General features: G+C 40.6%; 1 protein-coding gene across 7 annotated transcripts in view, besides 2 other annotated features; it reads left to right on the top strand.

Moving 5' to 3' along the window:
• IPCEF1 (interaction protein for cytohesin exchange factors 1) overlaps positions 1–23,326 on the top strand; it is a 202,308-nt gene that overhangs the window by 9,960 nt on the left and 169,022 nt on the right. Inside the window, exon 1 of one of the 7 annotated variants that reach the window (NM_001130699.2) lies at positions 16,763–16,823. The exons of the other annotated variants lie outside the window; for them this stretch is intronic. The gene's annotated coding sequence lies outside the window, so the exon portion shown is untranslated. Of the gene's footprint in view, positions 1–16,762; positions 16,824–23,326 lie in introns of those variants that run through there. 7 annotated transcript variants of the gene reach the window in all.
• Positions 3,612–4,544: an enhancer, noted in NCBI's record as "H3K27ac hESC enhancer chr6:154663434-154664366 (GRCh37/hg19 assembly coordinates)". NCBI's record gives its function as "activates a minimal SCP1, AML or CMV promoter by ChIP-STARR-seq in primed H9 embryonic stem cells {active_cell/tissue: H9 hESC(primed)}" and the evidence as "EXISTENCE:reporter gene assay evidence [ECO:0000049][PMID:30033119]".
• Positions 16,123–16,323: a silencer, noted in NCBI's record as "peak6226 fragment used in MPRA reporter construct". NCBI's record gives its function as "represses an SCP1 promoter by STARR-seq MPRAs in K562 erythroleukemia cells {active_cell/tissue: K562}" and the evidence as "EXISTENCE:reporter gene assay evidence [ECO:0000049][PMID:32103011]".

The following is a 23,326-nucleotide window of genomic DNA, read 5'->3' as shown; positions in this document are numbered from 1 at the left end:
ATCCCCACGTGTTGGGGGAGGAAACTTGTGGGAGGTGATTAGACCATGGGGGCTGTTCCTCATGTTGTTCTCATGATAGTGAGTGAGTTCTCACAAGATCTGATGGTTTTATAAGAGGCTTTACCTTGCTTTGCTCTGCACTTCTCTCTCATGCTGCCATGTGAAGAAGGACATGTTTGCTTCCCGTTCCACCATGACTGTAAGTTTCTTGAGGCCTCCCTGGCCATGCAGAGAACTGTGAGTCAATTAAACCTCTTTCCTTTATAAATTACCGAGTCTCAGGTATTTCTTCATAGCAGCATAAGAATGGACTAATACAGATAGTCCATCCATTCTTTCTAATTATTATACAACCAGAAAAAGTTCTTGAATGAAAGAAAAGATTAGTATATGCCAATTTAGAAAAAAGGAGGGAAGAAATAATCTCTTTAGGCAAACACTTTGAATTCAACCTCATAGTAAAATGTGTTATCAACTTTCTTGATATCTAGAGCTTAAATTTTTTAAAATAATTATTTTTCCTTAGTACATATAGAATGCATTTTATTGCCAATGATACAGATAAGCAAGGAGAAGATAAATACTTTTCATGATCCTATAACCTTGAAATAATTATAGTTAACATTTTGATGTAAAATCTTCAATGTTTTTGCTTTTTAATAATGTACATGTGAGGCCAGGTGCAGTGGCTCACAGCTGTAATCCTAGCACTTTGGGACACTGAGGTGGGCAGAGGGCATGAGCTCAGGAGTTTGACACCAGCCTGGGAAACATGGTGAAACCCTGTCTTTACCAAAAAGTATACAAAAAATTAGCCAGGCGCGGTGGCACATGCCTGTGGTTTCAGCTACTTGGGAGGCTGAAGCGGGAAGATTGCTTGAGCCTGGGAGGTGGAGTTTGCAGTGAGCCGAGATAGCACCACTACACTCTAACCTGGGTGACAGAGTGAGACCCCATCTCACAAAAAAAGTGTGTGTTTACAAAAAAAATGAGATAAAAGTGTATTTTAATATATTAAAACCATATTCCTAACACATTATATATTTTAGATATAATAATTTACCATATGGGGTACAGTAACCAAAGTTTTTGAATGGATAAGTGAAGAGATTTCTTTCTTTATGATAACTGACCATAGGAAAGCTCAGATATTCAGAATTATTAAATACTGTGAAGAATTGACAAATCTAACACGTTTTCAACCAAAAAATGATGAGCAGTCACGTAAAACAAAAGAAAGCAGAAGTTAATGAAAGAACAAAAAGTGGTTGAGGCATGGTTTGGGAGGTGTCATAGCAGGTGGCAGCAGCTCTCTTTTGGAAAGTGGATTATTCTTAATTGGCTTGTATTTTTTTGCGATCTTATATTGGTGCTTCGTGGTCCTGGAGACTAGTAGGGCTCTGATCGCCATGTGATTTTAAGCTTGTCAATATCATCACACACACAAAATTTCTGAGTTTTCTGACTGTAAGAAAGATAATGTCTTAAGCCTAGAATTTCTGTTCAGTCCCCTGAGACATTCATCCCTATTCAGCAAATATTTGTGTAAATTTTCTCTGTATTAGGCATTGTGAAGAATATAAAATAAGTATTAGAAAATAATAGTTACTACAAATATCTTACTAATTTACAGTGACAACAAAACACACACATGAAACATTAAACAAAAGAACCGACTGGATACGGTGGCTCATGCCTGTAATCCCAGCACTTTGGGAGGCCAAGGCGGGTGGATCACCTGTGGTCAGGAGTTTGAGACCAGCCTGGGCAACATGTTGAAACCCTGTCTCTACAAAATGTATTAAAATTAGCTGGGTGTGATGGCGTGCACTTGTGGTCCCAGCTACATGGGAGGCTGAGGATGGAGGATCCCTTGAACCCAGGAAGAGGAGATTGTGCCACTGCACACCAACCTGGGTGACAGAGTGAAACCCTATCTCCAAAAAGAACAACAACAACAAAAGACCCAAAGTGACATGTGATTGTCATGGTAAACAGTGTAGAGAATAAGTATGCTAAAAGTTAGAGAGAGCATGATCCAGGAGCCTGTAATGGTGGAGAAAAAAGTTGAATAATAACTTCTGTTCTGTTGAGAAAAAAAGGGCAAAGTTTCAGGTTGGGGGAGAAGAGAGGGATGACCATGAAAGTCAGTAGGAAAATGCAGGCTCAGAGCTCTCCCCTGGCGCCATCTGTGATGGTAGTTGGTATTCGTGCTCCGGCATATTGAGCACTCCTATACCGGGAAGAATCCTGGACCACAGGAGGGAAGATCTTTATGCTGCCAGTTGCTAAACCTGTGAACATGGGGTTGTTTTCTTCATGTCTTAGTTTCTCCATTTGTGAAACGGGGAGCCTCATATCTTTACATGCCCCAAAGTCACTGGGGTTTCTATAAGATAATGTGTGTGAATGAGATTTTTCAGTTGAAAAACAGGATGTAAGTATCTTTGGTGATAATGATTTACTGGATATACAGATGGAAGAAAAGCACAAAACCAGGACATGAAAGGACAGTGAAGTAGTCATGATATGGCTCCGACGAGTGGAGGAACACCAGGGATCTTGACTCATGTGAATTAGATAAAACGACACGGACACACGTGGAGTGGTTTTAAGGAGCAGATGATTTAATAGGCAAGAGAAAAGGGAGAAGAAAGAAAGAAGCAGTTCCCCTGTACACAGACAGAGGGAGAGGTGCTCCAAAACTGAGAGAGGAGACTCGGAGTGTGGTGGATACCAGCCAGTTTTATGAGGAGGCTAGAGGAGGAGGTGTCTGATTTGCATAGGGCTCAGGGGATTGGTTTGACTAGGCATGTCATTCACGTAGCCTGCACAAAAACTGGCCCTCCCACCTTAGTCTTTTAATATGCAAATGCAGGGCGCCTTGATGTTCTACACACGTGGGGATATGTGAGGTCGGCCATGCTGCCAGGCACACCACGGGGCAAGGGCAAGAGGACATGTGGGAATCTCCATGTTGGGTGGACCCAGTTTCTAATGGCCTGCATTTGCATATCAAAGGTTGCCAGCCCAGTTCTAAGAGCCGGGCTTTCCTGTTAGACAAGAAACGTTTCTGGAGCTGCTTTAAAAGGGACGAAAACTTTCCAAGGACCTCTTTTCCTCTCTATCTGCCTAAAATAATTTCTCAACAACACCTACAGCAGTCACAGCACACCTGGGTCAATGTGAGTAATTTTAGAGACAGAGTGAGTGCATAATTGGGTCAGATTGGCGGAGGAAAGAAGGCTGGTTGATAGGTTGAGGCCACTGAGACTTCTCTGATCAACATGGAGAAATGGTGGGAAGTGAGGCGACTTGGGGAGGAAAAGCTTTCCCAGGGAAGTGGAGCATTTTGGAAGTTTGATGATAGGGAGAGTTTTCATACACTTGTATTGCACCTAATAAAATGGCACTTTCCTGAGTTTTGTAGGCAAAGCATGATGTTAAATCTTTTAACATCTTCTTTCCACTAATTGAATAGGAGGAAAAGGAAATTTCTTCTTTTTCTTCTTATTTCACTTATTTCCCTTTTGTAGCCCTAGAAGCACATGACATAATGCTCAACAAAAAGATGCAGTGGCTTTGAGAAAATATTATGATAACCGAAATGAGTGACTGAGGGAAAGGGCTCAATGAATTGAGGCTTATTAGGCCAGCTTTAGGGCGTTTCTGGGAAAAACTCGAGCCACAGACACACCTGTGGCTGTTTTCTCTATCTCTCTCTCTCTTTTATAGCGTCTGGCTCTTTTGCCGAGGCTGGAGTGCAGTGGTGGTATCTCAGCTCACTGCAGCCTTCAGCTCCTGGGCTCAAGTGATCCTCCTGCCTCAGCCTCCTGAGTAGCTGGGACTACAGGCCCATGTGACCAAGCCTTACTAGTTTTCTTGTGTATTTTCTGTAGAGACAGGGTCTTGCCGTATGCCCAGGCTGGTCTTAAACTCCTGGACTCAGGTGATCCACTGGCCTCAGCCTCCCAAAGTGCTGGGATTACAGGCATAAGCCACCATACTCAGCCTTGCAGCTGTTTTTCTGAAGAGATATTTAGGAGGTTTAGTATTTACACATTTCCTTAAACGGGGAAGGAGGCTAGACGCAGTGGCTCATGCCCGTAATCCTAGTACTTTCAGAGGCTGAGGCAGGAGGATCACTTGAGACCAGGAGTTTGAGACCAGCCTGAGTAACAGCAAAATCCAGCCTTGCCTGCCTCCCCCTCCTCAGCCCCTCACCCTGCCACTGTTTCTACAAAAATTGAAAAAAATTGCCAGGTGTGGTGGTGCATGCCTGTGATCCCAGCTACTCAGGAGGCTGAGGTGGGAGGATCACTTGAGTCGCAAAAGTCAAGGCTGTAGTGAGCTATGATCATGCCACTGCTCTCCATCCTGAAAAGGGGGAAGGCATGTAGGGAGAGGGGTGAGTAGGTAGTAAGAGGAATGGTTACATTCTTGTGAGACTTTAGTCAATGCCCAGAAATCTACATTTTACATAAGACAAGGTGAATAATAAAATTTAAAAAAGGGAGTAAAGGAAGACTCAGTTATGCAGAGGTCTTTGGGTAAGTGGAGGTATGATTGATCTTGTCTTTGTTCTGTACCTGGGAAAATAAGCTTGTAATGACGTTATTGGTGTGGAATCAAACAGACTTCAGGTTTAGGAGCTAGACTTAGACTGCAGACCTAAAGTGTAATTGGCATGTCCATGCTTATGGGAGGCCAGCAAAGAATTTACTTCAAATGATCTGTGGGAGCAGTCTCGGGAGACGCCTGAGGCCTTTTGCCTTTCTATGGGAGTCTGGGTAATGCATGCCAGTAACGGCTATTCATTTGGAAAAGGATGTTGCATGACTCAACCTCTATGCTTAACCTCTTTGACATAAGGGGTTTGGGAGTCCTGAGATACTTAAATTTTCCTTTACGTTATCAATCCAAGTGGGTAGCAGCTGAAGCTCAGGCAGCAGTTCAAGGCTTACACATCACACTCTTCTTTTTAGGTGAAGGCATACAGACATTATAAATTATTAAGGTTTAATATAATCAACTCAGAATGATGGTAATGATAAAACACATCCACACAATCTGTAAAGGTTCATTCCAACTTTAGTGTTTGTGTAATTTCTTCCCTAATCATTTAATAGATTTCACAATTAGTTTTATCTTTCCTTACGCATTGAACCTTCCAGTGGACACAGGAAAAAGAGCCAAAAGGAGGAAGAAAGATGAAAAAGGAGGAAGCTTGGGAAATTCACACACTCTATTAAAAGATCCGGAACTGATTTAGCCTGGCAAACTTCCTGCGTGTTTTGTTCATTGCACTCTATTCAGACCCCTCTCAAAGGTTCCATTTTGGTCAAATCTAGGATCTTTCTCATGCTAATCTTTCTGGATTCAGCATTCCTTTCAATATCAATCATAACCTCCATCCCCAAATGATCCCTTCTGTAGGCTTCAAGCCCCAAGGGCTTTCAGCCTCTTCCACCCTGGCGACTTGTACTCCATCTCTCTTGAATTTTTTCTTTTAACTATGGACTCTTATTTGATTTAGTTCTTGGCACCCTGTGTTGCTGTCCCTAGTGTGAAAGGAAAATATCTTGAGCCCCCAAAATCACTAAGCTAAGAGGAAAACTCAAGCTGGAAACTGCTTAGGGCAAACCTGTCTCCCAGTCTATTCAAAGTTATTCCTTTGCTCACTGTGATAAATGCATATCTGATGGCCTCCTTTGGAAAGGCTGATCAGCAACTCAGAAGAATGCAACAGCTTGTCTCTCACCTATCTGTGACCTGGAAGCCCCCTCTCCACTTTGAGCCTTCCTGCCTTTGCTTCAAGTTGTTCTGCCTTTTGGACCTAACCAATGTACTTCTTACATATATATACACTTTGTATATATGATATATAAATATAATATGTGTACATACACACACACACACATATATATACACACATATATATATTTCTTTTTTTTTTTTTGAGACGGAGTTTTGCTCTTGTTGCCCAGGCTGAGTGCAATGGCATGATCTTTGCTCACCGCAACCTCTGCCTCCTGGGTTCAAGCGATTCTCCTGCCTCACCCTCTTGAGTAGCTGGGATTACAGGTATGTGCCACCACGCCTGGCTAATTTTGTGTTTTTAGTAGAGACAGGGTTTCTCCATGTTGATCAGGCTGATCTCGAACTCCCAACCTCAGGTAATCCGCCCACCTCGGCCTCCCAAAGTGCTGGGATTACAGGCGTGAGTCACCGCGCCTGGCCCTTCTTACATATTTTAATTGATGTCTCATGTCTCTCTAAAATGTATAAAACTGGCTGGGCGCAGTGGCTCATGCCTGTAATCCCAGCACTTTGGGAGGGCTGAGGTGGGCAGATCACCTGAGTTTAGGAGTTTGAGACTAGCCTGGCCAACATGGCAAAACCTGTCTCTACTAAAAACACAAAAATTAACTGGGCATTGGTGGTGCACGCCTGTAATCCCAGCTACTAGGGAGGTTGGGGCGGGAGAATTGCTTGAACCGGGGAGGCAGAGGTTGCAGTGAGCCGAGATCACACCACTGCACTCCAGCCTGGGCGACAGAGCAAGACTCCGTCTCAAAAATAATAATAATAATAATAAATTAAAAAATAAAATCTATAAAACCAAGCTGTGCCCTGACCACCTTGGGCACATGTCGTCAAGACTTCCTAAGGCTGTGTCACGGGCGCGCATCCTCAACCTTGGCAAAATAACCTTTCTAAATTAACTGAGACCCGCCTCAAATTTTCGGGGTTCACTCTAGAGACTCGGGAAGTTCCCTAGCCTCAAGTATCTTCAGCTGCTACTCTGCAATATGTTGAGCACCCATCTTTCCAGCCTTGATCTAACTCTGGATCCCCACTCAGTTTCCTCTTGCTAGCAGGTTTCCCCCACTCCCATTACTGACGTTATTTACAACTTGAACATGCTTGAAATTAAATTATCACTTGGCCAGGAGCGGCGGCTCATGCCTGTAATCCCAGCACTTTGGGAGGTGAGGGGGGTGGCTCGCTTGAGCCCAAGTGTTCCAGACGAGCCTGGGTTATACATAGTGAGACCCCATCTCTACAAAAATATTTTTTAAAATTAGCTGGATGTGGTGGTGGTGTGCGCTTGTAGTCCCAGCTACTGGGGAGGCTGAGGTGGAAGAATCACTTGATCCCAGGAGTTTGAGACTGCAGTGAGCTGCGATTGCACCACTGCACTACAGTCTGGGTAACAGAGCGAGAACCTCTCAAAAAACAAACAAACAAACAAACAAACAAACAAAAAACGCCAGGCATAATGGCTCATGCCTGTAATCCCACCACTCACCACTTTGGACGGGAGCAATGCTTGAGGCCTGGAGTTTGAGGCCAGCTTGGGCAATATAGCAAGACGCTATCTCTAAATTAAAAAAAAAAAAAAATTAAAGATTAAAAAAAGATAAAAGTAAGTAAATAAAATAAATTATTACTCAATGTACTCTTGCTGTTCTTACACTATTTTGAGAATTCATGGACAGTTGATTGAACCAAATGAACTTGGTTGAATTTAATTTTTAAAAAATGATTAGGCTCTTCTCCTCTCTCATTTAGGGGTTAACACACTTTTATGTAATTATATTGGTCAAAATTAAATAATGAGATTCAGAAAATATGATCAAGTATAGAGTTTATTTGAACCTAAATCTTGAGAATGGCCACCGAGGAGCACAGATTCAAGTTGCCCTGAATATACACCCTGATTAGCAGCAGTTACAGGTGGGTTTTTAAAGGAAAAAAGAAGAGGCAGTTCCTAAATTGTTTACCAATAATTTACATTGAAATAACAAGCTATTCATGGGCTGTATGTTGTTTTTTGTGCATGAAGATAATGGGTGAGGCAGCTAGGCAGGAACAAAGTGATTTTATTTTTCTTATTTTTTTAGAGGCAGGGTTTTGCTGTGTCACTCGGGCTGGAGTGCAGTGTTGCAGTCTTGGCTCACTGAAGTCTCAGCTCACTGCAACCTCCACCTCCCGGGCTCAAGCGATCCTCCTGTCTCAGCCTCCTGAGTAGCTGGGACCACAGGTGTGCTTTACCATGCCTGGCTAATTTTTTGTATGTTTTTTGGAGACAAGTTTTCATCATGTTGCCCAGGCCAGTCTCAAACTCCTGGGTTCTAGAGTGATTCTCTACCTTGGCCTCTGAAAATACTAGGATTTTCGTTATTGGGCAGTTAACATTTAGAGGTCTAGATCAGACGTTTATCAGCCCACAGTTATGAGGTAGATGGGTCAGATAGTTTGGCAATCGCAATTCACCCTTAGTTAGAAGCATCTGACTGTCTAACTCATACATCAGTGTTAGTAACTCATAACAATTTAAAGACCTTCTCTTTTCAAACATATGCTCATTTTAACCCAGATATAACAGCATAAAGAGTCTAGCAGTAAAAAGTCTAGGCTGTGAACAGTTGTCACTAACAAGATGGACACATTTGGAAAATCACCGAAACTCTTTGGCTCTCAGTTCCCTATCCATAAAGTGGCAGGGTTAGAGTACATGAGGTCAAAATTTCTTCTAGCTAAAGTATGTTTGGTATCTATGACTCTATAAAGAAAGCCTAGCTATAAGGCATCAAAGGCAAGTGATAAGGTTCTCCCAACCCACCCAAGTGCAAGGCTAAGAATACATGCCCCATGTGATGACCCAGGCTGGGAGGCATGAAGGAGCAGAAGATCAATAGACTTGAATTCAAACTTTACCTAGATGATAAATCAACAGAGACAACTTATTGATGAAAGTCAAGCAATAGAATGTTCTAGAGTGGGGAAACCTTACATAAGGGACCTAAAGTTCAAGCCTCAGCTTAGCCATTGACTAGTAGGATGGCTTTGGACAGGCCACTTAACTCTTCTGAGCCACAGTTTCCCCAATGGGCGTATTACTATCTGGGATTACAGGCAGGAACCATGGTCCAAAGTGACTTTAAACAAGTGCCCCAGGGTAAGGGTGGTATGGATATGTCACTGAAGTCCTCTACTCGAGTCTTCCTGGGCCTGATCACTTTTGCATACACCACAAAGCTTAGACTGCTCAGAGCTAGTTTTCTTCTCACATTATATAGCACTGAGTTCATACATTTGCCCTTAGGTGAAAATAGCTTTGTTTCTTAACACTTTTCTTCCTAGCCAACCTGGTTCCTCCCTCCTCCCCTTTCTACCCCACAAATAACGGAAATTTGACTGTGGCCAAATCTCTTTCCTCGTTGCTGTGCCTCTTTTTTCATAATAACTCACATACATTGGCTAATTCAGCTGCTGAGGCCTGGCCTCTTTGCCTACCCTGTAACTTGTGTCTTGTCTCCTGGTATAAAAGAGAGACTCAGAGATTCTTTTGCTTATCTGAATGTCATTGCATGGTCTGGGGCTTTGAGTAAGTGTGACAAAGATTCAGGTTTAGCAACCTTTTTATTATTCAGACATTTCCATGGAAAGGCGGTACCTCTTTCTCTTGGAAAGACTAGAGAAGTTTCTTAAATTCACACTCAGTGTCTATATCTAAAGAATGGGAAAGTAGGAAGCTGTTTTCTCAAAAGTCTTTTTCTAGCCTTTTTCTTTCCGCTTTTGCTCTATTTTGAGAAGGAAATCTCCTTCTAAATTACAAATGCCTATTCGCATAGAACTTCTGAGCTCTGGCTGTTTTATAATTTATTGAGTATGTTTGTGCACATTTTTTCTTTTTTCTTGATATACAATATTTATACATATTTATGGATTACATATGATATTTTGTTACATGCATAGAATGTGTGAGGATCAAGTCAGGGTACTTAAGGTTTCCATCACTTCCAGTATTTATCATTTCTATGTGGTGGGAACATTTCAAGTCCTCTCTTACAGCTATTTTGAAATATATAATGCAATGTTATTAACTATAGTCACTCTACTCTGCTATTGAATATAAGACTCATTCTTTCTAGGCCAGGCATGATTGATCACGCCTGTAGTCTCAGCACTTTGGGAGACCGAGGTGGGAGAATCACTTGAGCCCAGGAGATCAAGACCAGCCTCAACACAGTGGGACCTTGTCTCAACAAAAAATTTTTAAAAACTTAGCTGTGCATGGTGGCACATGCTTGTAGTCCCAGTTACCTGGGAGGCTGAGGCAGGAGGATAGCTTGAGACTGAGCAGTCGAGGCTGCAGTGAGCCGTGATTATGCAACTGCACTTCAGCCTGGGTAACAGAGTGAGACCTTGGTCTCAAAAAAAAAGAAAAAAAAGAGAACTTTTCCTCCTATCTAACTGTATGTTTGTATATTTGTATCCATTGACCAATCTTTCTTCATCCTCCCAACACACATACCCTTCCCAGCCACTGGTATCTATCATTCTACTCTCTATCTCCACGAGATCAACTTTTTTAGCTTCCACATGTGAGTGAGAACATGTGATATTTGTCTTTCTGTGCCTGGCTTATTTCACTTAACATAATTACCTTCGGTTCCATCCATATTGCTGCAAATGACATGATTTCATTCTTTTTTATGGCCAAATGATATTCCATTGTGTACATATACCACATTTTCTTCATCTATTTGTCCATTGATGGACACTTAGGTTGATTCCATATCTTTGCTATTGTGGATAGTGCTACAATAAACATGCAAGCACAGGTATTCCTTATATATACTGATTTCTTTTCCTTTGGATAAGTACCTAATAGTGGGAATGTGGGAGCATATGGTAGTTCTATTTCTAGTTTTTAAAGAAATCTTCATACTATTTTCCACAGTGGCTATACTAATTTACATTTCCACCAACAGTATATGTGTTCCCTTTTCTCCACCTCCTCACCAGCATCTGTTACTTTTGTTTTTTAAATAATAGCCATTCTAACTGGCATGCGATGATATTTCATTGCAGTTTTTTCCTTCATTTTCATTGTGGTTTTGATTTGCATTTCCCCAATGCAAGTTAGTGATGTTGTGTGTTTTTTAATATATCTATTGGTCATTTGTATGTCTTTTGAGAATGTCTATTCATGTCCTTTGCTCATTTTTAATGAGATTATTTGATTTGTTACTGTTAAGTTGTTTGAGTGAGTTCCTTGTTATTCTGAATATTAGTCCCTTCTTGGATAAATAGTTTGCTGATATTTTCTCCCATTCAACAGGTTGTATCTTCTCTTTTTCTTTTACTTATTTATTTTTTTGAGATGAGGGTCTTGCTATGTTGCCCAGGCTCGTCTTCAACTCCTGGGCTCAAGCAATCCTCTCACCTTGGCCTCCCAAAGTGCTGGGATTACAGGCATGAGCCACCGTGCTCGACCTTCAACAGGTTGTATCTTCACTCTGTTGTTTGTTTTCTTTGCTGTGTGCACATTTTCTTATATTGATACTGTATGGGCCAAGGGGAACTTCTCCTTGGAAGGTTCACTGGAAAATCAACTCACAAAAGGCAGATTAACTGGAGAAAAGGCATACAGATTTTATTAACGTGTACACAAGGAAAGTGATTATCCATTCCCCATTGGGGTTCAGAAGCTCATGTCCCATCCTGGCAAAACATATTATGTGGCAAGATGGGGCACAGAGAAGAGGAGTTCTGTTGAGGGAATTACTAGGGAGAATAAATGTATCTGGGAAGAGAGATCAATATGTAAATAGTTATCTTTGGAACTGGAATGATCTGACAGATAGACATTATCTTTTTATTTTATTTTATTTTATTTTTGTAGAGACAGGGTCTCACTATGTTGCCCAGGCTGGTCTCAAACTCCTGGGCTAAAGTGATCCTCCCATCCTGGCCTCCCAAAATACTGTGACATTATCTTGTGACACGATCTGTTTAGGTGTGGTTATATTCTTGGTTTTACAGGGAGGGGAAGAAAAAAACAATTATTCTTGGTGGGTCTGGATCTTAGGCAGATAAAGGAACTTTAGCTTCATCTTATGCTTTGGGTGAGACAGTGAGGTTGGGAGGTGGGGGAAAATCAGAGAGACCTTGAGGCTTCTTTAGTTCAGTATATCAAAGGACCATATTTTGAGGTATCAGTTTCTGAGCTCCAACAATACAAATACTGAGTTGTCTATATGTGGAGCAGATAGTAATACACCCATTGGGGAAACTGTGGCTCAGAAGAGTTAAGTGGCCTGTCCAAGGCCATTCTACTAGTCAATGGCTAAGCTGAGGCTTGAACTTTAGGTCTCTTATGTAAGGTTTCCCCACTCTAGAGCATTCTGTTGCCTGACCTTCATCAATAAGTTGTCTCTGTTGATTTATCATCTAGGTAAAGTTTGAATTCAAGTCTATTGATCTTCTGCTCCTTCGTGCCTCCCAGCCTGGGTCATCCCATGGGGCATGTATCCTTAGCCTTGCACTTGGGTGGGTTGGGAGAACCTTACTCACTTGCCTTTGATGCCTTATAGTTAGGCTTTCTTTATAGAGTCATAGATACCAAACATACTTTAGCTAGAAGAAATTTTGACTTCATGTACTGTAACCCTTCCACTTTATGGATGGGGAACTGAGAGCCAAAGAGTTTCGGTGGCTTTCCAAATGTGTCCATCTTGTTAGTGATAACTGTTCACAGCCTAGACTTTTTACTGCTAGACTCTTTATGCTGTTATATCTGGGTTAAAATGAGCATATGTTTGAAAAGAGAAGGTCTTTAAATTGTTATGAGTTACTAACACTGATGTATGAGTTAGACAGTCAGATGCTTCCAACTAAGGGTGAACTGGGATTGCCAAACTATCTGACCCATCTACCCCATAACTGTGGGCTGATAAATGCCTGATCTAGACCTCTAAATGTTAGCTGCCCAATAATGAAGCTACGCCATGTGTTTTTGAAGATTGTTTCAGCTTTTCTCATTTCTGTGTCTTTCTCTATAATGAAGTGCTATCCGTTGTACATGAAGATGGTGGATATACTTTATTTATTTATTTCTCTCTCCTAATACTCATTTCTGTTAAGCCCTTGCATGTTGTATGAGATATTAGGGTGGAGGGGCAGTCTGTGACTAAAGAAATGTGTGAGTCATGGTAAATATGTATATATATATTTACACACACACATATATATACATATATACACATATACACACATACATATATACACATATATACATACACATATATATACATACACATATATACATACACACATATATACACAAACGCACTATATATACACATATATACATATACACACATATACACATATATGTATACATGTATACTTGTATACATATGTACGTATATATGTATACTTGTATACATATATATGTGTATATATATGTGTGTGTGTGTATATATATATGTATATATAAAGGGGAATTTATTAAGTATATTAACTCCCACGATCACAAGGTCCCACAATAGGCTGTCTGAAGCTGAGGAGCTAGGAGAGCCAGTTTGAGTCCGAAAACTGAAGAAACTTGGAGTCTGATGTTCAGGGGCAGGAAGCATCCAGCATAGGAGAAAGGTGTAGGCTGGGAGGCTAAGCCAGTCTTGCCTTTTCATATTTGTCTGCCTGCTATATTTGCTGGCAGCTGATTGGATGGTACCCACCGAGATTAAGAGTGGATCTGCCTTCCCCAGCTCACTGACTCAATTGTTAATCTCCTTTGGCAACACCCTCACAGACACACCCAGGATCAATATTTTGCATCCTTCAATCCAATCAAGTTGACACTCAGTATTAATCATCACAAAAAACAACTAAATGAATTGGCTTGTTTGAAGATCCAACTCAAGACTTCAGTTCCAGTAACACCCTGAAGACCATCAGGAAATGAAGTTAATCTAGCGTTGGGAGCCTAAGATGAGAGACAAGGCTAAGCTTCTAAAGTTTCCAGAAGGCAGGAGTAAATTGGGGGTAAAAAATGCTGGGTTTTCCGTTAGATCAATTGTTTTTCGATTCTCTCTGACCAAGATCCCCTTAGCGTTTCCATCAGGCCTGCTTCAAGCTCAGATGAGCATCAAGCTGTTGTAAGGCATTTTGAGGCCCTTCCAATCACACATATTTTTACTGACAGCTTTCTCTGACCTTGTAATGTGCCTATTTTACAACAGAGTGCCTGACTCAGTCTCTATTGCTCTCTTGAGCCTCATTCACTAAGTGACAACTAATCTTAGGCTTGGAGGATAGCTGTGCTGACATTCTACCTGGTGATCTCTCTAGTGATTTAGAAGTCTGCACAGATGGGACAGGGAGAGAGCACTCTTAATTAGCATAGGAGATGTAGGAATTCAAGCAGAACCTGTATAAAATGCTGGAATCCCCAGTTTTATGTGATGAAGGAGAGAATCTCTTCAGTTTTCAAGATTTTTTAATTGAAAGTTTTTAAACACAAAAATCACATAAAACTTGATTCTTGAAACATAGCATCTTCACATATAGACTTAAACTACCAGGTAAGTATTTGTCATTCACTGGTTTTCACCAGAAGATGAATTTGTATCATAAAAAGTTATCAACATGGGCCGGGTACAGTGGTTTATGCCTGTAATCCTGGCAGACTTTGAGACCAGCCTGGGCAACATAGCATGACCCTATCTCTAAAAAAACAGTAAAAAAAAAAAAAAAAACCACTCACACACAAAAAAACAGTTATCAACAGGTCAGATGCTGTGCAAGGAGAGAAGTATAAAAATATCATGATCCCTGATATTTCAGTTGCATTTGTTCTGCATGTGACTTAATAAAAATTATGGCGGAGTTTCATTGGTGAGAATTGCACTTTTTGTTAGCAGTGGCAACAAATCGGTTGTCTGTAGCAACCGATTCTTGCCTCCTCAGAGGAAAGAATTTGGCTGAGGGGCATAAGGGAGAGTGAGAGTGAGAGACTGAGGCAAGTTTTAGAACAGGAGTGAAAGTTTATTAAAAAGTTTCAGAGCAGTAATGAAAGGATGTAAACTTGGAAGAGGGCCAAGGGAGCAGCTTGAGAAAACCAAGTGCCCTATCAGACCTTTGACTGGGGGTCTTCTGCACTGTCATGGTTCTGGGGTTTGTGTCTCTCCTCCCTTGATTTTTTCCTTGGGGTGGGCTGTCCTCACCCACAGTGGCCTTTCAGCACTTGGGAGGGGCTGCATGCATATGTGTTTAGTAGAGCTGTATGAATGCTCATTTGAGGATTTTTGTTGAGTCGAGTGTTCCTCAAGGAAGGTCATATACCAGCTTAAACTCTGCCATTTTGCCTCTTAGTGCACATGCTTGAGCCTACTCTCCAATGCCTGGGATCTTATTGGGAAGCTGCTGATCACCAGCTTCGGGTGTTTTCTATCTATTGGGATACTGCCTTTCCTTGGTACTGACTGCAACAAATTATTATATTATTATTTCTTCCATTTATTGAAGTCATAAAACTGCTCTTTTTTTAAGTTTCTTTCTTTTCTTCCTTCCCCTTTCTTTCTTTTCCTTTCTTTCTTTCGTTCTCTTTCTTTCTCTCTCTCTCTTTCTTTTTCTCTCTCTTTCTTTCTTTCTTTCTTTCTTTCTTTCTTTCTTTCCTTTCTTTCTTTCTCTTTCCTTCCCCTTCCTCCCTTCCTCCCTTCTTCTTCTTCTTTTCTTTTCTTTCTTTCTTTCTCTCTCAAATTCTCAATTATTTATTTATTTTTAGAGTCTCACTCTATCGCCCCAGCTGGAGTGCAGCAGTGTGACCCTCAGCTTACTGCAGCCTCCACTTCCCGGGTTCAAGGAATTCTCCTGCTTCAGTCTCCTGAGTAGCTGGGACTTCAGGCACATGCCACCATACCTGGTTAATTTTTGTATTTTTAGTAGAGACGGGGTTTTGCCACGTTGGCCAGCCTGGTCTCAAACTCCTGATCTCAAGTGATCCACCCGCCTCGGCCTCCTGAATTATTATTTTAGAGAGACTAACAACTGCCTGACTATCACTTGACAGTTGTCTGACATCCCTGGGGTAGGAAGGAGCCCTCTCCTGCCCTGCTCATGTCTGCCTAGCTACCTCCTCCAACATTTTTAAATATGGAAGGAAAGAATTCCTTTGTTAAGGTTTTGCCTTTGACAGTAGGCTGTAGAAAATGCTGTGTCAACCACTAAGCCAGACTATTTTGCCTCTTGAAAGATTGGAAGTAAGGTGTCCTGATAAATTCAAGACAGAATCAGAACTTAGGAAGGCCCAGTTCCACAGCTGAACATACTTGTGAGGGGTGCTGTAAGAGAAAATGCTTGGATTGGTTTTAAATTTGCATATAAGACAACTTCCTTAGGCAGAGCATTAGTTGAAAGAGAGGCTGGCCAGACGTGGAGGTCATGGCTGTAATCCCAGCACTTTGGGAGGTGAGGCGGGTGGATCGCTTGAGCCCAGGACTTAGACCAGCCTGGGCAACATAGTAAGACCTTATCTCTACCGATCATAAAAAAAATTAGCTGGATGTCTGTGTTCTCAGCTACTCGGGGGACCGAGGTGGGAGAATTGCTTGAGTCCAGGAGGTTGAGGCTATATAGTGAGCTATGATTGTGCCACTGCACTCCACCCTGGGTGACAGAGAGAGATCCTGTCTTAAAAAAAAAAAAAAAAAAAAAAAAAAAGAGGCTATAATTGTAGAAGTCCCGTTGCTCCTGCTGGTATTCTGTTAAAAGGAAAGTTGTTTCCCACCCCATTTTCTTTCAGGGGAGTGTACTGAATTGGATCTCTTTTGTCCTATATGTGTTGTTTTTTTAAATTGGATTTTGCATTTGTTGTTGTTGGTCATTGCTGTGCTCTATCCGAGAAGATTATCCTTATAAGGAAGTAATCTGGTGGGTAATAGTGAATTTCAGTTGTTCTAAGCCCACATGTAGTCTTCTCACTTTCTTCTTGCCATGAGACTGAGAGAGTGCTCCTTGGGACGGAGGTAGGTTGTGCTGTATTTTCTCAGATGGCAGCTTCAGGTTAGCTACAAACTAGTAAGAAGTTTGGACAGCACGGAGGCCAGAGTGGGGCTGGGAAGTACTTTGGAGTTTGCTGAAGAAAAACAAAGATTCAAAACAAAGACTCTCCTGATTTGAGCTCAGATGAGCATTTCCTGATGTCAGGTGATCCAGTCTTTTCTAATTTGCTCTCTCACTTTTTGGAAGCATGTGAATTCGCCACTAAGCTAGTGCCGAGCTGTTTGCGAGGAAAATGAGTAGAGAATTGGTGAAAAAAAAAATTTCACTTTCTTTTTTGCATGACGAATCTAGGAATTCATAACAAAACTGTTTTTTTTTTAGTTTTTGGATCTTTCTTTCTTTCTTTCTTTTTCTTTCTCTCTCTCTCTTTCTTTCTTTTTTTTTCTTTTTCTTGCAACAGGGTCTGGCTCTGTCACTCAGGCTGGAGGGCAGTGGCGCGGTCATGGCTCACTGCAGCCTCCTGGGCTCAAGTGATCCTCCCACCTCGGCCTCCTGAGTAGCTGGGACTACAGGCATGTGCCACCACACCTGGCTAATTTTTTTTATTTTTTGTAGAGGCAGAGTCTCACTTTGTTGCCCAGGCTGATCTCAAACTCCTGAGCTCAAGTGATCTTCCTGCTTCAGCCTCCCAAAATGTTGATATTACAAGTGTAAGCCATTGTGCCTGGCTGACATAGCTGTTCTTGTGAATAGTTACCTAAAAATATTACTCTCAGCTGATTAAAAAAAAAATTCTTAGAGACAGGGTCTTGCCATGTTGCCCAAGCAGGTTTCAAACTCCTGGCCTCAAGTGATTCTCCCCCGTCGACCTCCCAAAGGGCTGGGATGACAGACATGAGCCACTGCACGTGGCAGATTTTTAAAATGTAATTTAAAAACTTTTTTTCCTGTGTCCTGGAAACATTAGAGTCTGAACTAACACCTTTTTGACTGCGATTATTTTTTTCTGCCATCTTTTAAGATTTATACTAAGTTGCTTTGAAAAAAGATATAAATTTTTTTCTTGGTATTCATGAATGCACCAGTGATTTGAGTATCACTTCATATGACATTAATCAATCATACAGAATACTTTGAAGTTCAGTAATAGCTGATGATTATTTATTTGGCTGGGTTTCAAAGCAATAACATCGAATGCTTCAATTGCTTAATTTTTCTAAAGTGAGACCGGGAACCTGGAATGATAAAGTAGAATAGGAACCATTGACTTCATCTGGTCTGAGCTCTTACATTTTAGAAACGAGTACACTAGGCCTGAAGAGAGTCTCAAATGAAGTCAAAGGACACACTTGAGGCAGAGAGAGGAGAGAAAGAGGAGAGAGAGAAAGATTAAAAAGTTAAGCAAAAAAAGTTCTCCATTGAAGGATTTCCTTAACATTTTTTTTTTTTTAATTTTCTTTTTAGAAAATAGATTTGGGGTCTTGCTATGTTGCCGAGGCTGGTCTTGAACTCTTGGGCTGAAGTCATCTGCCTGTCTTAGCCTCCCAAACTGCTGGGATTACAGGTGTGAGCCACTATGCCTGGCCTCCATTGAAGAACTTCTTAGGGCTGCTAATACGTTAACAGGTGTTGTAAATCTCCAAGGTGGGGAATATTTTTTATTTAGGAGAAATTTAATAAGCAGTATTTCCCAGTTGATTGGCCAAGGATCCCTTTTTTGACAGAGCACTGGGCAAGCCTAGTGTTCATCAGCCACGCTTTAGAATTTGTTCTAATTTAGTTTGACTTGTTCTTTAACCAAAATGTGTATTTTTTTCAACTTTTAAGTTCAGGGGTGCACGTACAGGATGTGCAGGTTTGTTACATAGGTAAATGTGTACCATGGTGGTTTGCTGCACAGATCAACCCATCACATAAGTATTCAGCCCAGCATCCATTAGCTAGTCTTCCTGATGCTCCCCCTCCCCCAACCACCCTCCTCTGACAGGCCCCAGTGTGTGTTGTTAGCCCCCATGTGTCCATGTGTTCTCATCATTCAGCTCTCACTGAGAACATGTTGTATTTGGTTGTCTCTTTCTGCATTAGTTTGCTGAGGATAACAGCTTCCAACTCCATCCATATCCCTACAAAGGACGTGATCTCCTTCCTTCTTATGGGTGCCTAGTATTCCATGGTGTATATGGACCACATTTTCTTTATCCAGTCTATCATTGATGGGCATTTAGGTTGATTCCATGTGTTTGCTACTGTGAATAGTGCTGCAATGAACATATGTGTGCATGTATCTTTATAATAGAATGATTTCTATTCCTTTGGGTACATACCCAGTAATGGGATTGCTGGGTCAAATGGTATTTCTGCCTCTAGGTCTTTGAGGCATTGCTACACTGTTTTCCACAATGGTTGAACTAATTTACATTCCCACCAACAGTGTAAAAGTGTTCCTTTTTCTCAGCAACTTCACCAATATGTGTTGTTTTTTTGCCTTTTTATTAATGGCCATTCTGACTGGCGTGAGATGGTATCTCATTGTGGTTTTGATTTGCATGTCTCTAATAATCTGTGATTTTGAGCTTTTTTTCCCCATATGTTTTTTGGCCACATGTACATCTTCTTTTGAGAAGTGTTTATTCATGTTCTTTGTCTACTTTTTAATGGGCTTGTTTGTTTTTTTCTTGTAAATTTGTTTAAGTTCCTTGTAGACTCTGGATATTAGACCTTTGTCAGATGGATAGATTGCAGAAATTTTCTCTCATTCTGTAGATTTTCTATTCACTCTGATGATAGTTTCTTTTGGTGTGCAGAAGCTCTTTAGTTTAGTCAGATCCCACTAGTCAATTTTTGCTTTTGTTGCAATTACTTTTGGCATTTCCGTCATGAAATCTTTGCCTGTGACTATGTCCTGAATGGTATTGCCTAGATTTTCTTCTAGGGTTTTTATGGTTTTGGGTTTTACATTTAAGTCTTCAATCTATATTAAGTTAATTTTTGTATAAGGTGTAAGGAAGAGGTCCAGTTTCAGTCTTCTGCATATGGCTAGCCAGTTATTTCAGCACCATTTATTGAATAGGGAATTCTTTCTCCATTGCTTGTTTTTGTCAGGTTTGTCGAAGATCAGATGGATGTAGGTGTGTGGTCTTATTTCTGAGATCTCTTTTCTCTTCCATTGGTCTATGTGTCTGTTCTTGTACCAGTACCATGACATTTTGGTTACTGTAGCCTTGTAGTATAGTTTGAAGTTGGGTAACATAATGTCTCCAGCTTTGTTCTTTTTGCTTAGGATTGTCTTGGCTATTTGGGCTCTTTTTTGGTTCCATGTGAATTTTAAAATAGTTTTTTCTAATTCTGTGAAGAATGTCAATGGTAGTTTAATGAGAATAGCATTGAATCCATAAGTTACTTTGAGCAATATGGCCATTCTCATGATATTAATTCTTCCGATTCAAGAGCATGGAATGTTTTTCCATTTTTTTGTGTCCTCTCTGATTTCTTTGAGCAGTGGTTTTAGGCCTCCTTGAAGAGGTCCTTTTCTTCCATCCTTAGCTATATTCCTAGATATTTTATTCTTTTTGTAGCAATTGTGAATGGGAATTCATTCATGATTTGGCTATTTGCCTGTTGTTGATGTATAGGAATGCTAGTGATTTTTGCACATTGATTTTGTATCCTGTGACTTTGCTGAAGTTGCTTATCAGCTTAAGAAGGTTTTGGGCTGAGGTGATGGGGTTTTCTAGATAGAGGATTATGTCATCTGCCAAAATGTGTATTTTTACTATGTGAAACAATGTTAACAGCTTTTTTCTTTTCTTTTTTTTTTTTTTTGAGACAAGGTCTGGCTCTATCACTCAGGCTGGAATGCAGTGGTGCAATCTTGGCTCACTGCAGCCTCTGCCTCCTGGGCTCAAGCCTCCCACCTCAGCCTCCCAAGTAGCTGGGACCACAGGCACACACCACCATACCTGGCTAATATTTGTATTTTTTGTAGAGATGGGGTTTTGCCATGTTGTCCAGGCTGGTCTTGAACTCCAGAGCTCAAGGGATCCACCTGCCTCGGCCTCCCAAAATGCTGGGATTACAAGCGTGAGCCACTGTGCCCAGCCAAGAATGAAATTCTTAAATAATGTGGCTATGCATGGAGGCTTGAACAACAAACCTCTTCTCATTTCTTCTCACTTGTCAAGGCCTGTTCAAATTATGATGGCAATTATTGTGTCTGTTCTAAAGAATGTGTTTCTAGAGTAGTGATTTTATATAAAACTAAATATATTCACCGTCAAAAAGCACACCCCAAAAAAGCACACTCAAAGAAAGCATTAATTAAGTTGCAGTCAAAATTACTAGACTGACCAGGATTAAAGATTTTTATTATTCTCCTCCCAGGAGCATGTTAGAGCTGTGAGGACAGAGTTTCATGTTGGTCACCCCCACCTCTATTCCCAGCCCTTAAGTAGTGATTGGCAGAAAGTAGATGCTCAGGCAGTAAATATTTGTGGAATAAAGTAATTCAGATTATTTTATTACCCAGTTATTTTTTAATTGGAAAGACAGTACAGATATACATTTAAACATTAAAAATTACATGGTGGGAAGTGATGTCTACTCTTACTTAAGACTTTGGGCTCCCACTCTTAGTTCTCTTCCCCAGAAGCAATCACTAACCAGTTTATACAATGTAGTTCTAAAAATGTCCTATGCATATTTAAGTACATATACAGATATGTACATATACTTATCTATGTGTATCTATGGATATGCATATATATTAATATATAGTTTTTATACACTAGTGGAGGCATAGTTTACAGACTGTTCTATGTTTTGATTTTTTTCACTTAATAGCCATCTTATGAATATGTTTTGAGAATTTCCATCTAATAAATGAAAAATTTTATCTCATTGATAATTTACTGTTTTAAAATGATTGAGGTGGACTATCTTTCCTGTATTCATAAGCCATTTGTGTTTCCTTTCTATGAACTGCCTCTTTAAGCTTTGTGCCTGTTTTTCTATTGGTTTAATGGTCTTTTATAATTGATTTGTAAGAGGTCTTTATACATGAAAGACATGAACTCATTGTCATATGCGTTGAAATATTTTTCCCAGTTGATCATTTGTCTTTTGACTTTGTATGGTACTTTTTTTTCCATGCTGGAAAAAAACCCTCAAACGTATTTTATGTAGTCACATTTGCTAATCTTTTTGGAATTCGGGTTTTGTGTATTTTTTTGTTTGTTTCGAGACAGAATCTCTCTCTGTCACCCAGGCTGGAGTACAGTAGCGCGATCTCAGCTCACTGCAACTTCCGCTTCCTGGGTTCAAGCGATTCTCCTGCCTCAGTCTCCCAAGTAGTTGGGATTACAGGCACCTGCCACCATGACCAGCTAATTTTTGTATTTTTAGTAAAGACAGGGTTTCACCATGTTGGCCAGGCTGGTCTCAAACTCCTGACCTCAGGTGATCTGCCCGCCTTGGCCTCCCAAAATATTGGGATTACAGGTGTGAGCCACTGCACCTGGTCTTGTATATTGTGTAGAAAAGCCTTCTCAGATCCAAAAAGGAATAAATTATCCTACACTTATCTGGAATAGTTTTATGATTTTCTTTTTATTATTTATGTATTTATTTTATTATTATTTTTCAAATAGAGATGGGGTCTTGCCATCTTGCCCAGGCTGGTCTCAAACTCATGAACTCAAGTGTTCCTCCCAACTTGGGCACCCAAAGTGCTAGGATTACAGGCATGAGCCACTGTAACTGGCCATGATTTTATTTTATATATCCAAATATTTGATTCACTTGCAATTTATTTTGATAAAATGTAGCTTTATTAGATGTGTTCCAGATGGCTAGCCAGTTGGATAAGCCACATGCCTCTGCTGGTTTGAAATGTTGTCTGTTTCACATTCTGACTTTCAGTGTATTTATGCATTTATTTTAAAAAATTAACTTTGTTATGAAAAATTTCAAACTTATCAAAGTAGACAAAATAATAAAATGAAGTCCCACTGTACCCATCACTTAGCTTCAAAACTTTCAATGTGATCAGTCTTGTTTCTTCTGTACCTTCCCTCTGTGTATATATGTATTTTTAAGATGGAGTTTTGCTTTTGTCATCCAGGCTGGAGTGCAATGGCACGACCTTGGCTCACTGCAACCTCTGCCTCCTGGATTCAAACGATTCTCTTGCCTCAGCCTCCCGAGCAGTTGGGATTACAGGCGTCTGCCACCATGCCCTGCTAATTTTTGTATTTTTAGTAGAGACAGGGTTTCACCATGTTGGTCAGGCTGGTCTTGAACTCCTGACCTCAGGTGATCTGCCCACCTCGGCCTCCCAAAGTGTTGGGATTACAGGTGTGAGCCACTGCACCCAGGCTCTGCATATTATTTTGAAGGAATCAGACATCATGTCATTTTGAGATATTTCTGCATGTATCTGTTTTAGTTTGGGTTACTCCAGAAGCAGACCCTGAGACAAAGATAGTAATGCAAATATTTATGTGTAAATATCAAATAAATGTTTATTTGT

Source organism: Homo sapiens, chromosome 6 (genome assembly GCF_000001405.40).
Source record: "Homo sapiens chromosome 6, GRCh38.p14 Primary Assembly".
Lineage (NCBI taxonomy): Eukaryota > Metazoa > Chordata > Mammalia > Primates > Hominidae > Homo > Homo sapiens.
This window is presented reverse-complemented; position numbering and strand designations above follow the sequence as displayed.